The 16,902-nt window shown below is 38.3% G+C and overlaps 1 protein-coding gene across 3 annotated transcripts in view, besides 1 other annotated feature; it reads left to right on the top strand.

Annotated features, from left to right (window-relative positions):
* CA10 (carbonic anhydrase 10) overlaps positions 1–16,902 on the top strand; it is a 529,711-nt gene that overhangs the window by 27,741 nt on the left and 485,068 nt on the right. The gene's annotated exons all lie outside the window — the stretch shown is intronic.
* Positions 10,810–12,009: an enhancer, noted in NCBI's record as "MED14-independent group 3 enhancer chr17:50197634-50198833 (GRCh37/hg19 assembly coordinates)". NCBI's record gives its function as "activates an origin of replication core promoter dependent on BRD2, BRD4, P300/CBP and CDK7 cofactors, and independent of MED14, by STARR-seq in HCT116 cells {active_cell/tissue: HCT116}" and the evidence as "EXISTENCE:reporter gene assay evidence [ECO:0000049][PMID:35650434]".

Raw genomic sequence — 16,902 nt, 5'->3', positions numbered from 1 at the left:
CAGCGTCTTCCTCTGAGTCTGCCTCTCCATTGCTTCCACAGCTCTTGGGGACAAGCTGTTTTAATTTTTTTAATTTAAAAATAAAAATAGTATTTCTTTTTTTATTATTATTATACTTTAAGTTTTAGGGTACATGTACATAATGTGCCCTATGTATACATGTATACATGTGCTATGTATACATGTGCTATGCTGGTGTGCTGTACCCATTAACTCATCATTTAGCATTAGGTATATCTCCTAATGCTATCCCTCCCCCTTTCCCCCACCCCACAACAGTCCCCAGAATGTGATGTTCCCCTTCCTGTGTCCATGTGTTCTCATTTTTCAATTCCCATCTATGAGTGAGAACATGCAGTGTTTGGTTTTTTGTCCTAGCTATAGTTTACTGAGAATGATGATTTCCAATTTCATCCATATCCCTACAAAGGACATGAACTCATCATTTTTTATGGCTGCATAGTATTTCATGGTGTATATGTGCCACATTTTCTTGAGAGCTGATCTATTTCTAGTTCACCAATACACATACAATATAGTCTATTTTGATAAACTAAATCCAGAAACTGATTTAAGTTAAAAGAATGAAAGTTACCCAGTTTCTGACTCCATTAAAGTCAGAAAATTCTGACTACCTATTTTAGTACTGAAAGCTCTCTACAAAATTAAATGCTCTCTATCTTCTGTTTTTGTGTTAAACTCCACCTGGACTTCTTTATTAATTATAAAACAAATAAACCACTTGCAATGAGCTATAATGTTAGTCACATGGAAAACATGTTAGGCAAAAATACTTTCTGCATATAGTTGTAATTCAGTAATTGTTTCACTATCACTCAGAAGAGAATTATTTTATATGCTGGTTGCATTTAGTCCAAAATTTAAATCATTTTCCCTCATTAGAGAATAGTAAAATGTAAGAGAAATATAAATTTCATGTTTTTAATTTGTTCAAAATTTTAAAACATTAAATTTTGTAACACTGTTGCCATGCTCTGTTGACAGATATATTAGAAGAGGGTGGAACAAACTCATAAAGTATGAGGCCTCCTTGGTTCAAAGAAAGTAGAGACAGAACACTCAAATATATATTATTTCCATTTATTTGTTTTTTTAAAGGGGAACTTTGGGGTAATGCCAAACAATAATATTTATGTTTATAGTCTAAAAAAAAATAAAATAAAAATAAATATAGTATATATTTATCATATGTAATATTGTGTTTTGATTTATGTATACATTGTGGGATAGATAAATCAAGCTAATTATACATATGTATTACCTCACATTCTTATTTTTAAAAAACACTTAGAATCTACTCCTTTAGCAATTTTCGAGTATACAATACATAGTTATTCACTATAGTCACCATGGTGTACAATAGATCTCTTGAACTGATTCCTGCTGTCTAACTGAAATTTATATCCTTTGGTGGTGTGTGCCTGTTGTCACAGCTACTCAGGAGGCTGAGGTGGAAGGATCACTTGAGCCCAAGAGTCTGAGGCTTTAGTGAACTATGATAGTGCCACTGAACTCCAGCCTGGGCAACAGGGCAAGACCCCATCTCAAAAAAAAAGAAAGAAAGAAGAAAAAAAGACATGTATATCCTTTGACCGCCATCTCCCCAACCCTGCACCATCTAGTCGCTAGTAACCACCATTCTATTCTCTGCTTCTATGAGTTCAACTTTATTACGTTCCACATATAAGTGAGATAATGCGATATTTGTCTTTTTCTGACTTATTTCAATTAATGTAGTGTTCTCTAGGTTTATACATGGTGTTGCAAATGACAGAGTTTCCTTCTATTTTAAGGCTGGATAGTATTCTATTTGTGTGTATACCACATTTCTTTATTCATTCATCAATTGATGGACATTTAGATGGATTCCATGTTTTAGCTACTGTGAACAGTGCTGCAGTAAACATGAGAATGTAGATATCTCTTCAACCTCTGATCCCATATACTCTGGATATACACCTAGAAGTGGGATTGCTGGGTCATATGTTAGTACTATTTTAAATTTTTTGAGGAACCACCATACTTTTTTTCTTAATGGCTGTATTAATTTGCATTCTCACCAACAGTGCACAAGGGATCCCTTTTCTCCATATCCTCACCAACACTTGTTATCTTTCATCTTTTTATTAAGAGACATTCTAACATGAATAAGGTGATATCTCATTGTGGTTTAAATTTTTATTTCATTTCACTAATGATTAGTGATGTTGAGCATTTTTTCTTATACCTGTTAGCTCTTTATATGCTTTCTTTTGAAAAACGTCTATTCAGGTCCTTTGGCTATTTTTAAAGTGAGTTGTTTTATTACTATTGAGTTTCTTGTATATTTTGGATATTAACCCCTTATCAAATATCTGGTTTGCATATATTTTCTTCCATTCTACTGGTGTTGTCTTTATTCTGTTGACTGTTTCCTTTTCTGTGCAGAATTGTCAACAAATCTTGTTCCAGTCTGACCCCTTCCCTGTGTCCAGGCCTATGTTAAGTAGTTGAACTATATGCAGTTGAGTCTTGAGATGATGATAGAGAGGACTCAAGGACACTGAAAAGCCCATGGGCATCAAACTGTAAATTAGGCATCTAATGAGTACTTACTTTGTACTTATTTATTACTATTTAGTACTATGTACGTTCTCAGCTGTTTTTGGTACTATAAAAGGATCACATGAAAGAAAGTCTCACTGGTTAAGCTCTTAGATTCTAGAACCAGGCTGCCAAGATTCAAATACCTGATTCACCACATAGTATATCCATGTGATCTTAAGCAAGTTACTTATCCTCTCTGTGCTCAGTTTTCTCATATCCATAACGAGGATAGCAATGGCATCTACCTCATAGTGTTCTTGTGAAGATTAAATGAATTAATTCATGTAAAGCATTCTGCACTCAATAAGTTAAAGAAAATATTTGCAATGGTGAAGAGGACAATGATGATAAAGGAGAGTATGGCAATATGTTTGTTCCCTGCTACAAGAAGCTTTTTGCTTAATAAGGGAGATGATAGATCACATAAAACAATATAAGACCATATATAATTAAATGCTAGTTTGGTTGATGAATATCAGAAGTTAATAAGTATCCTAATAACTGTTGGGGACAGTTGAGGAAGGCAACATGGACTATGGCTTTCAGGATGAGTAGGCTACAGAGAGGTAGAGGAGAAAGTGGTGGCTTAGTCTTCTTTACACGAGGGCCACTTCTTTCAATAGAACACTGATAGTCCTTGTTACAGTGTTTGTTATATGTTATTTCAGTTACCATTCGAATAAACAGGAACTCAAGATGCTGGGTCTAACTGAAATAGTGAGGATTTGCCTTAGTCATGGGTAGGGTGTGATTCACCCATGGGAATTAGAGCATGAATTGGAAGGTGATTCAAAAGATAGTATCCAGATGTTTAGCTGCCATGGAAGCCAGGCAGTCAAATCAGGATTTCCCTCAGCAGCTGAGCTGGAAAGCAGAATAAAGGCATGCCCAAAAGACTAAAATCTGGGGTTAAATGCTAGAAGAAGAGGTCTGGGAGGGAAAGTTAGAAAACAGGGTTTAGAAGTGAAGGGCTGCAAGATATGAATGTCTCCAATTGATCAATTAAGGCAAATTAATTCTAATTAACGTATCAGATAAATTAACTCACATGAAGACATCAGATCCTGCATCAGTGGTGTCGTGTGAGAATGGGCCATAAAGAAAATGGTTCTCAGTGGTAGAGATAGGATTAGAAGCCATTCGTATCTAGAAGTTCTGATATGAGAATTACCTCCTGAAAAGATGCCACAGTGGACGACCCATGAAGGCCATTGTCAGATTCAGCAGGGGGACAGTCAGTGATCTTGGATTGTAAGGGAGAAGTTTTGTGAAGCTGAGTGGTAAGTACATCTTTCTTTCAAGATATATTTATCAAGTTCCTACTGTGTTTGAGGTACTGTATTTTTTGAAATGGTCTTGGAGACAGAGGTGACTCATCCATGCATTTTTCAGTTGAGAAGCTAACAGGCTAAAAGATAAGATAAATCCTATTGACAAATAACTAATAAAAGGTAGAAAGCAATGCCTGATGCAAGGGAGGCAGAGATAAACAGGCTTAGGAGAGCAGAGAAGGGAATGATTGCTTGCAGTAGAGCCCAGTGGCTCATAGCCCCAGAACTGGGGTTGGAAACCACCCAGCCCAGATTCAGATTTCTGCTCTATGTCTTAATAGCCCTTATGTCCCTGGGTAGATTTACATACCTCTTTGTGTACTCATTTGAAAAATGTAGATCAAAGCAATACCTATCTTACAGAGTTATTCTGAGGATGTATTTTGAGGATGTATTGAGATAGTACATCCAAAGTGTGTGTCAGTTAATCAACGGTAGTTGTTATTAATTCCAAAGAACGATTTTAATGGTCAGGTGAAACACAGGTTCACAGGATATCTGTTATCAAAGATCTAGCCTTTTAAGTACTGTCTGAATTATTGTGAGCATGTCACATCTTATTTCAGCTAAAAACCGAAATAAGAAAGGACAAAGAAGCATTAAAAAGGAGTTCACTCTAGTGAAATGAAAAGGGGAGAACCATTGCCAGCTGAGATCCTTTCACCTCTTGGGATTTACCTACTGAATGTATGTTCATAACCCTCAGAGAGCTAGAGGACACCAGCCTCTTCTGCCCAACTGACTACCTCCCTAGAATACCACAGAGATGCTTAACTGGAGTGGATTCTGTTGGTGGAAGTGTACATTGTTACTTCATTATTGGAGGGCAAGTCTGCAGTGTCTATTTAAATTTAAATGGAGGAAAGGAAGTGAATACTTCTGAAGCCACAATTATACCTCTCAGTGTATACCCTGGAGAAATATGCATGCATGTGTGCTGGGAACCATATACAGCATAGTACATCAGAAACAGCCCAAAAGCCCACCCACCAGAAATGGGGTAGGTAAACTGTAGTGGATCCATGTAATACAATACTATGCCACAGTGAAAAAGAATATGCTAGAACTCGATGTCCCCACATGGTAAAGTCTCCAAGACATATGTCAAAAACAAACTTGCTGGACAATATGTATAGCGTGCTATTTATGTAAAATCCATATATATGTTTGTGATTACATACTAAAAATTCTAGAAGGATACATACCAAATTGATAACAGTAATCACTTCATGGTTGGGGTAAGGTTATGATGAGGGAACAGAATAGGTAAAAGGAACTTGAGCCTTTTAATTACTGTCTGAATTATTGTGAGCATGTGTTCACATCTTATTGTATAATTGCAAATAAATATACAAATATATAAGTAAAGAGGCCAGTGCTCTCCTCTATTTGCTACATTCTCTCCTCACTTCTAGTCAGCTTTCAAAAAAGTTGACATCAAAACATTCTTTAGCAAAATGTAATATAGAAAAGGCATTGCTTAGTTTATTTTTATGTATTAATCCTTTATAAAGCTACATAAAGTATGCTGCAATTTTTTGAAATTTTGCAAACAGTTGCAAAATTAAATTTGATTCCTAAGTTTCATGGGTAATGATTTAATATTCTCCTACACATTGTTGGAATTCACATATGCCCCAAATAAAAACGAGCTACATAGAAATATAAATAACATTTATGTGAGATGGACAGTCCTGCTTAGCTTGTTTTTCAAAGTGGGCATGAAAATGCCCATTTAAAATTTATATTTAGACAGGAAAATTACCATTATCTCAATAGTGTAAGAAAAAAATAATAATCCTAGAGATTGATGCTTTCAAGGGCACAGCAGTAAACGCATGACTTTTCCAACCATGCAGATAGGTTAACCAAACATTCAGATGAAGACCGAGGCTGTCAGCCAGACATTTGCTCATTTTCAAACATCTAAATGACTGATGGATATTTTTTTAAAATTCATGTGTTGGCTCTTGGAAAGGGCAAATAGACACTGCATTACATCAAAATTAAAATAATAACAATAAAGGCATATACTTCATCTGTTTTCAAAAATGCATTTCTATTCTTTCATATGTGAGCCTCATAGCCACCCTTGCTAGTTATTTAGAGCAGATATTATTAGCACCATTTTAGAATGTTATTTTATAACATTTAGTTTCAGAGAGCTTTAACAGGTTTGTCCAGGATAGGATGAGCAATATCATAGCAATGTTTTTTCACATAACACTTACCACTAGTATATATTACATTGTATATGTGATTATCTTTTTTTAATCTGGTCTAACTCCCTTACTGGAAAACCTTTTGAGGGCAGGGGCTTTGCTTATTCCCTTCATCACCTAGAATAGTACCTAGCACTTAGGTAGAAAGTATTCTGTAAATAGCTGTTGAAAGAATGAATGAATGAGTGAATGGATAGGACTTGAGCCTGAGCTAGCACCCCATCCAGCATTCTTTCCACCACATCAGTCACCCTCAAACAATAGCATCAGTCACCCTCAATCAGTCACCCCCAAACATCAGTCACCCCCAAACAATGGAAGCACTCTGTGAAGAATGGAACCTGAAAAGATGGAAATGAATCTACAATAAGGAAAATAAAGGAGAAACTGATCACAGACTCTTCTGGGAAAGGCAGGAAATATATTAAAGAAGAAAAAAAACTATAAGGATAACTGTTATGGGAAAAACACCTTCATCCCCAAACTAGGAAGGTATCAAGAGACCGAAGAATGATTTGGACAAGTGCAGCTTGGCAAGCAGATGAGTTAAGATTTACATATAGGGTACTCCTGGATGGCAGGCAGGAAGGCACCTCTAGAGATCCGCCCCACTTCCCACCTCTAAGCTGCTTTTAAGCTAATTCTCTGGCTCTTAGGCCTACTGTGCATGCATGATGGGACTGTTTTCCTTGATAGGTTCTTAGATACTCTGGGATGTTTGGGTTCTCAGGGACACCTGCTCTTTGGCTGGTCACCGTGACCTCAGCTCACCAACCAGCCGGCTGTCAAGATGCAGGCAGTGGATATACACCCTTAAGTAACCTGATGGGGGATCCTTCACACTACAGTAGCACTGGAAAAGTCAGTCACTAAGTACTTATCAATGAGACACTAGCAAGGAGGTACCACGATGGCGGAAGCACTCAGGCAGCAAGGAAGACTGACACCAACGCTGACTCAGCGGGCTTCCAGAAGAATGTGACACGTCAGCTAAGACCTCACAAACACCAAGTTGAAATTTTCCTAGCAAAAGTGATGAGGGAGGCAGAGGGAGCTGTGTGTGCAAAAGCTGTGAGGAGAGACAGACAGTGATGTGTATGTGAAAACCATAAGTATTTCATTATGGAGAGATAATAGCATCAGAGGGCATGGTAGGTATAGGAGAAGAAAACACTGAAGATGTAAGCAAGATCTAGATCATGAAGGGCCTTGACTGCCATGTAGAAAGATATGGACCTTATCCTGAGAGCTGTGGAAGCTGCTGAAGTAACAGTGTTGTGGGCACAGAGGAGAGCAAGCCTCATTCAGTGAGAAAGATTCCTAAGTCATACTTAACAGGTTCTAGAAGGATGAGTTGGAACTTGCTAGGTGAACAAGGTGGGAGAGGCATTGAGGATGAAACAGCATAGGCAAAGGCTTAGAGGCATGAAGGTGGAGGACAAGGGATCCTGCCAGGTTAGCATGGTTTGGGTACTGTGGGAATAATGAGCAGTCATGGAGAAAAAAGCAGGAAAGTCAGACAAGCCAAATTATGAATATCTTATATATCATGCTAAAGAATTATATTTTTATTCCATAGGCACAGGAAGATAGAGCTCTCTAGTATCATCTGAACCTTCTTACATGACTTATATCATTCATTTTGTCAGGCTTTGAGCAACTGCATGCTGTATACCATGTTGAGGTCCTTGGTAATGTAACAGAATCCTGGGGAAAGGAGACCTGGTTCTGAATCCCAGATCTATCACTTACTGAAATCTGAGGTCATCACTCTTAAATCTCTAACCTTCAATTTCTCCATCCATAGAATGGGACCAATAATAAGTTTTGCATTGCCTTCTTCATAGAATTGTTATGAGGAATCACTCAAAAAGTGTGCAAGAAATTACCCATGCTGGACCAAATTCTGTAGGTGGGAAATGGGATGAAGGAGAGAGGATAAATGCAGGACTAGAGAGGGTAAACTAGTGTGTTGGAGAGGCAGGAAATACAGGATGGAGCACCATAGTGAAAATGAAGAATAAATGAGTGTGGTTAAGGTTGTATACTATCTTGAACAAGATATTGGAGAGTTCAAGTGGGACAAATCCAAGAGGAAGCATCTGTGGAACATGTCATTGATTTGTTAGCCAACAGGTGTGAATGAATGAGGTGCTTTATAATGTCTCTTAATGATTGTTCTTGACAAGATGCTTTTTTTAAACAGGGTCCCAAGGGTCTGCTCCTATTGGATGCCCATATCTATCTTAATATGGTTTTCTAATCCTGATGCCTTTTAAAGTTTATTCGGATGTTAAAACAATGGTGATAAAAGAAGGAACTCCTCATTCATTTATTTATTCAATAAATATGCATTGAGTCTGTCCAGGGAGAACGCTGCAGGATATTAGGCCACACAGGTGGTTCCTGCAACTCAGAGAGCTTACATTCTAGTAGATAATCTTGAAAAACTTCTGGAAATGTTATTTTCTTAATGAATTATGTCAGGCTTCGATCAATGGCTTTGGGTCCCTTGGTCTGCTTTCCTTCCATACATTTATAAGCCTTGTATTCATTCATACTTGCTCAGAAACTCATTGCTCTACCAGATCTCTTTCAGTTGTTTGCCATAGCTGATTTGTTTCAACAAAACAATGGTTCCTACATAGGAGGTCCTTAGGTCCCCAAAGAACTAGAAAGCTGGTAATGGAGATCTGGATTATTTTTCAACTTTTAAATGAAAACGTCACACACACACACACACACACACACCCCATATATATACACACATACACACACACACACACACACACACATATATATGTAATCCTGTTACTACTATACCAAACTTTTTTACATTACAGTTTTATAAAGCTAGGTGAAAACATGGTATACCTACCATTTCTTTCATGTCACTCTTTTAAGTTAATATTTCATTATAATTATTTTTGAGAACTCAGTATTTCAAAATATCTAATGAAATTGTGGCATCCTTGATGAAGCTTGGCAGGCTGAGTTGCAGGTCAAGTATCTCCGCCTTTGATCACAATTGTGCTGGTTCCCTCTGGCAATCATAGGTGATCTCCCACTGATCAGAATATATGATTGGCAAATTCAGATATCTTGGCCTATTAAATGGTGGACAGAATTTATGCATAAATTCATTCATAAATGTTTGGCAAAAAAAAAGTATTTCAAAACACAAGCCCTGGTTACAGGTGGGGAGAAAAAGAGTCTTTGATGGTATAAAGCCTGGGAATTACTGATCTAAAAGGACCTTGTTTGTGAAACTAAACCCAACATACAGCAGAAATGGAAAAGTTAATGTTAAATTTGTGACTTTCCAATTACAGTTTCTCTTGAATAAAAGCCATAGCAGTTGAACCCAAGAGGCGTATTTAAGCTGTTTAAGAATGCTTAAGTAGGATCTGCCCTCCATTCCACTTGTACTAATTCCGGGGCCTCTGATTTTTTAAGATAAGATGGGTAGCAATATTATGGAAGGCTATATCAGAAGACAATACTTGTTCTTTCTAGTGATACAAGAATTATCAGTAATTTGGAGCAGGGCAGGGATAAGCATGGGATAAGCAAGGAGCTTGCCTTGGGTGCAAATTTAAGAGGGTGCCACCAGGAAACTCCTAAATCAAGATATGTAATATTTTAATAAAACATTTTTAAAAAATCAAACTTCATGCAAAAAAAATCCATGATGAATGAAATATCCAAATATTTAATGAAAACACGATCAGCATCACTGATTTTCTCTTTTGTCTTAGGCTTTAAAATGGCTCATTATGGTACTGCTGAATTTTATTATTTAAAATTTTGATATTTGGTTCACAATGAATTTATCTGTATTAACTTCTATTTTAAAAAATGTATTGCATTAGAATATAATTTATCTATCTCAGTCACTGAGCTTTTTAATGCACCTTAAATTTTGCCTTACCTGCCTAACTTCCATCAACTAGCCCCCAGCATCTGTGGGTTCTTAATACAAATTTGACTTTGCAGTTGATTTGTCTGGTTTTAGAACTTTTTCTTACTCTTCTCCCTCTCCAAGCTGTGTTAATGGCTGTTTGGGTAATTCTGATTGAGGTGTGCATAAAAGGATATTTGCTACACGATGAAAGGCAGTAAGAAGTATATTTGTGGGTGAGATGTTAGTTTGCTGCTGTTGGTGCTAGGATAATAATTGCTACATTCTGAGAGATGCACCAGAGGTTGGGGACGAGTGAGTAGGTCAAGGCTCCTAATGATCAGCTTCTTGCCTACAGGTTTCTGGAGGCCATTGGATGAGAAGGCAGCACAGGTGTGCAGCAGGGGCAGGATTGTCTGGGAGACGGGCTTGCTTTTGTAACACAATTTTCACTGTGTTCTGAGCTGTGATTGACCTAGTGCCTTCTAGCAGTGATTGGAAGTTAATATTTTGCCCTGGTGTGTGTGTGTGTGTGTGTGTGTATCTGTGTGTGTGTGTGTTTAGAGATAGATAGAGATTCCCTCATTTTTTTCCATTTTATGTGATTTCCAGAGGATCTCTACTGAGGGGCTGCAATTCTTTTTTTTTGAAATGAAGGTCTCTTTCTAATGAAAATTATGGAATGGGTTTACAGCTTCACATACCTAAGCATTGTAGAATGATTTATGGCAGAACTATTCAGCAACTCTGTTCTGCAGCACATACTAAGTATTAGGCTTTAGTTTGCATGCTAAGCAGAAGTCTTTTTTTTTCTTTTTTAAGCAATATCCCTTCCAACCTAGGTCTTCTCCCTATTTTAATGCTAATGAGACAGTTTTGCCAATAATAGCAGAATCAAGGAGTTCTGAATGTCACCCTCGTCTTCTCATTTTGTCAAACCAACTAACCAGAGATGAGGCAGAGAAGGTGAATCCTTTGAGAGTGCTTGGAAGGATTTCTTAGCGTATTTGCCATAACGTCTGCAAGAGAGGAGGTGATTCAGCCTTTTGAGGCTATCTGCTATATGGAAAACTCTGACAGCATTTAAGTAGATTAGACACCAAACCACATATGGCAAAGACATGGAAACCAGTCAGATTCTTGGAGGCAGGGAAGTGATGGGTGAAGATTTCAACAGAACAGTGGAAGGTATCCAGGTTAATATGTAGTCATCATTTGAGCAGTCCTACCATAAACAAGTTCTCAGAAGGTAATGATACAGGATTCTTTCCTCCTTAGTTCAGCTAAAATCCAGGTCCTTGTCTCACAACAAGGAAAACTTAGATATGCAGACACATTGAAGGGTGAGAAAGGTAGATTTATCAGGTGAAAAGAATGCTCTCAGCAAAGAAAGAGTGGGTCCTGCCAACAGGATCCCACCTCACAGATCGAATACCAGGCTACCACACATGAGCTGAAGAGGCTAGCCTTCTCCCCCTGCATGAGGCGTGAATTCCTGGTGGCTCCACCCCATTGACCCAGTGCACATGGGCCACCAGTCCCTTGTGGGCATGCCCAGGCAAGACCCTGTGCAGGTTCCCCCAGCTGCACAAAGACATCTGGCATAAACACTTGTGGGGCAGGTCAGAGATTCTCCAGGGACACTTCCTTATCTGCCTCCTGCATCTATCATTCCCCCTACTAAAGAAGTACATCTAAATGCCCTTAGGTTAGAAGTACATCTAAATGCCCTTAGGTTAAAGATAAGGATAAGGATAAGGATAAGGATAAGGATAAGGATAAGGATAAGGATAAGGATAAGGATAAGGTTAAGGATGAAGACCAATATTAACTGCTTCCTGCTGACAGGGGTGCTGTTTTGGGGAATCAGCAATCAGATCTCCCTCATAGGCCTATATAAGGGTCCCTGGTAAAAGGGGTGATCATCAAAGGCTCCGGTGGCAGGACTATTTGGAGTATTTGGAGTTTGATGGCCTGAAGGCCAGAAGAGACAAACTGGGTTATTGGAAAACATGTATCAAAATGAAACAAAAAGGGATGGGTAAGGGCAGCTCAAAAATCCCAAGGCTGCTGGCACACACAGATAACTGGTGGCTATAGTTATGCTTGCTAAGATTTGGGTGCATGGGGCTTGACTTTGGTTAGCTCCCTTGGTCTTATTTTCTCAAAAAGGATACCTCTGGGTGATGGGCACCCTATTTACTCCTATCACCTGCCAGGATTTGCAAGGTAATTGCCCAGAACTAGACTATTTGATCCAGATTTTTACATTACTCATCTCTTTTGTTTCTTCTGAGCTGCAGTTGGAGATCACTGGTTGGTTCACAGGAATAATCAGAGTTAACTTATAATGTGGGGGAAAAAAAATTAAAACAGCTAATGAGTCTAGAATTTAATGACAAATGTCTAAGTTTTGGAACATAATTTATCTCTCTCCAGTCCTCATTCTTGTCAAAAAGAAATCATGATGGGACTGAGTTGTTTGAAAAATAGACTTTAGTCTTATACTTGGCCTGATTATTTGCATAAAGTACAGCACAAATAATTATTTTTACATAGGCCTTTCAGATTGGCTTTGATGGAACTCTGTTCCACAAGGAATCTGAGATAAGACTTTTTCTTCTTTTTTTTAAAGCTGAGCCCAGCCATGAGTTTGTACCCTCAAATACCTGAGTTGCATAAACTCCTCTCTTCTTGAGGTCCAAGAACATGTGATTCCTGGACTTGTTAGAAAGCAACATTCTTTACTTACCATGGGTCAGGAACCCTGTACAGGGACTGTGAATACAAGGTGTGAGGCCAGTTTTCCCAAGGGACTTTTATCAGCTCTGCAAGTCAAGCTTGATTCCTTAACGGGATGCATACCCTTCCAGTCAAAGCTTTGGTAAAACAACCAGTTTCTCCACTTGCATTCTGTTGCAAAAGAAAATGGATTCTTATTGCACTGACACAAATAACTACTTTGCCATAAGTCATGAATACTGCCATAAGTCATGAATACTCATGACTAGTTTCCAAATTCTGGAGAAACCAGGCAAAGAGAAACAAATATGCTCCAAATTTTGTCACAGAATTGTACTTTATTCAATTATTAAAGGCCATAAATAGCTGAACATAAGGTTCCTTGACTCTGAAAAACAAAACAAGGATCAGCAGTGTTCTAAGCAAACATTTAAAAAGGCTACTTCAGTTTTCTATTAGTTCAGTCCATTCCATTAACTCTTGTTCTATTTGATATTCATGAACATTTCAGCTCTTCATGAATTCATTATTCCAATGTCACAATCTCCAAAATTACAAGAAATCTGCATTTGAGAGTACCTGTCAAAGTTCTATAGCTGATTATAAACCATCTTTTGAACAGGATCAAAACAAGACAACAATTGCCTGTGAATAAAAAAAATTCTAGGGTAGTTACAGTCAAAAACACGATTGACAAAGAAATTTGGTTATCTCTGTGGTTTACAATAACTTAACATAATATCAACCTTAATCATGATTGATAGCATATACCCAAACATTAGAATTTTAGAAATCCCATACAATTTTGGAATATATATTAATATTATTCCCTAAATTATAACCTGAAGAAGATTAAACATCATTTTGGCAATCCCATGTACCTCAACATGTCAAATAATCCTGTTTACCTCTCTTTTGGGTGCTCCAGGGGCCATCTGTAGCATCCAAAAGCTGAGGTCAGAAAAGACAACCTGAAGCTGAAATTTGATTCAGGGAAGCCTGTTAAATATGTTAAAAATTTAAAACACTTGATGCTATAAAATAGAATTTCAGATTACCATAAGTTATTTATTTTGCCAAAACGATGACTTAGGAATTTTAAAACAAGGCAGAAAATCTTTACTCATTAACAGGGAAGACTTTGTTTTCCAAAAAATTTTTCTCTTGTCTGCTCTTTCTTTTCCTTGGCAGTCTATCCACAAGGCAAATGAAAATCGCTCATTATCCTTTACTAGTACGTGAAAATCTTGTACAAGGGAGAGAAAGCCAAATTTTACCCTTACATTAATAGTAATTTTACCCTTACTATTAACGTCTATCCCAATTTTCTAATGAAACTTTACAGACAATTCTATCTTATCTTAACCAGTTTAACCACCAGGTGAGATCCTTATAATCCTTTTATAACCCTCTACAAATTTTGCTAAAGAGCAGATTAGTGCCTTAAGAAAACCTTGTTGTGCTTTTACTTCAATGTTCCATTTGCAGAAAAACCATATAATACCCTTTTGAATTAAAACCATATAATACCCCTTTGAATTTTGTCAATGTGCAAACACAGAATTTCTTTTACAAGATTAATTCTTAGAAACCTTCCACAATGTGTTTAAACCTTTAGCTTTATCTTATCTAATTTTAAAAAATTCTTTAGCCCTAGGCAAAAATTTACATTTCCATGCCCTCTTATAATCTTTTACTAAAAACACATTTTACTGTTCTTACACACCTTGTATGTAAATCCATTTTCAGTGGTCTCAATTACATGTTATAGTGGTAACTCTTAGGAATTTTTAACTGTAATGTAAAATCTGGTAAGTTGTTTTAATTATGTGCTAGGCATCAATAAAGTTTGACTAAGTTTGATCTAAGTGCTTATTTTTCTTTAAGCCAATTAATTAGAGCTCTTTTTTATAGACATCACACACAACACATATATAACTACACAGACAGAAGAAGATCCAGTAGCTATAAAATTTTTCATTTGTCAATCTCAATTCTCAGGGTGGAGAAAAAAGAAAAAAAATCCCAATCTCAACAATCCCAATTGGATTATTTGCCTCAGGATGGAGCCCTTTAAGAGCATGCTGTTTCCAGGGCCCAATAAACAGGTATAGCTGGAAGACAAAAACAGATTTTGAGAGGGATTTATCCGCTTCTAATTCCTGGGCTTCCATGAGGAAAACAGAGGTTTCTCCCAAAATGGAATCCGTGGTGTCTTTTCTGTCTTTCCCAAGGAGTCCCAGGCCATCAGAAATTATCTTAGGGGCTCTAATGCATGCATTAAGAGTGGCAAGGCAAAATGGAGAAAAATAATTCAGTCAACTGAGGAAAACCCTTTTTTCAGCAAAATAAGATTCAAGAAGAGAAAAACATAAAGGCCTTTTAAATATACCTATAACTTGGATATACACTTCTAATTAAGCTGAGCTCTCTTTAAGAAAATCCTTTTAAATCCCTTATTAGTTCACTTTAGCCATGCCAAGCAGCTGATGTATCTAGCTTTTGAACTTTATCAAAAGTAACCTCACCAGTGGGACCAACAAACCTCAATTAAGACACGCAAAGCATACCAGATTGGCTACAGCTTAAGACCAACCTCATATATCCTTTTTCATTAATCAGAACTTCACAGATAATATAAACAGTGATTCTTATCATTCCTCTTACTGGTGTGCACAGGGAGAGGGAAGCCAAAAGCCCAACTGGTAAAAACTTTTACCCTTTTGCCAGCATGTCAGGCTTCTGGGTTCCTTTCCCCTGAGCTCAACTCCAAGCCAACTAGACTAAAGATGAATGGCTACTCATCTAGAAGGGGTAACAGGCACCCCTGGTCCCTTTCTCTTTTTAGTGAATACCCAGGCTATATGAGTGAGAGAAGGAAAAAGCATCCTTTTTCCTTCTTCCATCTTTTTATTCCCGAATCCCAGTGGCCATGACAGGGTGCTGCCCATGAGTGTCAATGTGGCTTTCACCCATGTTAATAGGGGGGCCTGAGGGAGGGATTATCTGCTCTTACCCATGAACTCCATGTCCCGCCTGCTGTCAGTAGCCTTCAAGTTCCAAAGCTTGGAATGGAGTTTGGGGCAAAAATGTGTCTCATGGGGTTTCATGGACTCCTTATAAGCTGAATGTTAAGGCAAAGCTGTGGAACCAAGTTCCCCTCCAACAAGGGAGAGAAAAGAGCATCTTGTGAATTGGGGTCCTGGCCTAGTAAAAACACCTTCTAAAAGGAAAAATCTCTCACACAAAAGTTAACTCCTGATAGGGTGAAAAAAGAAGAAAATAATAATAGTTTAAGTGCAGGACTGGAAAGATGCCTGGGGGAATAACCTCTTATTCTTATGTAAATGGGTTTCTCCAACAGGGAGAGAAACTTTTTTTTTTTTTTTGAGACAGAGTCTCGCTGAGTTGCCAGGCTGGAGTGCAGTGGCCCAATCTCAGCTCACTGCAATCTCCGCCTCCCAGGTTCAAGTGATTCTCCTGACTCAGCCTCCCAAGCAGCTGAGACTACAGGCATGCACCACCACACCCAGATAATTTTTGTATTTTTAGTAGAGACAGAGTTTCATCATGTTGGCCAGGATGGTCTCGATCTCTTGACCTTGTGATCTGCCTGCCTCGGCCTCCCAAAGTGCTGGAATTACAGGCGTGAGCCACTGTGCCCAGCTGAGAGAAACTTTTAATTGCTGTTGGACTGAGGTGGACCCCTTGGCCAGGAGAGGGGAAGACTCCCGGTGCATGGCAGGGAATGCTGGCCAGCCAGCCACGCAGGGCCCTTGGGCCATGTGCCCCAGCCCCAACCGAGAGGGGAGGGGGGCGGGGAGCTGCTGCTCACCCATCTGTCCTGTGCATGCACCTGTGGCCATTGGGGTGGGGGTGGAACACCCCCCAATATGTAAAAGAAAAGATAGCTGCCATTACAGTCCTAATAAAAAGAAGGAAATTGCCATAGAAAAAACTGGGCTGGACTGAGGCCAACATTCCTGACCCCCAAGAGTGACAAGGCAAGTCTCAGTTTTTTCTACCTTTAGAAGAAATCTGAGAACAAGAAGGCTCCAAAACAAAAGGGAAAGAAACATTCAGGTCCGTATTTTACTCA

Source organism: Homo sapiens, chromosome 17, assembly GCF_000001405.40.
Source record: "Homo sapiens chromosome 17, GRCh38.p14 Primary Assembly".
NCBI classification, from domain to species: Eukaryota; Metazoa; Chordata; class Mammalia; order Primates; family Hominidae; genus Homo; species Homo sapiens.
This window is presented reverse-complemented; position numbering and strand designations above follow the sequence as displayed.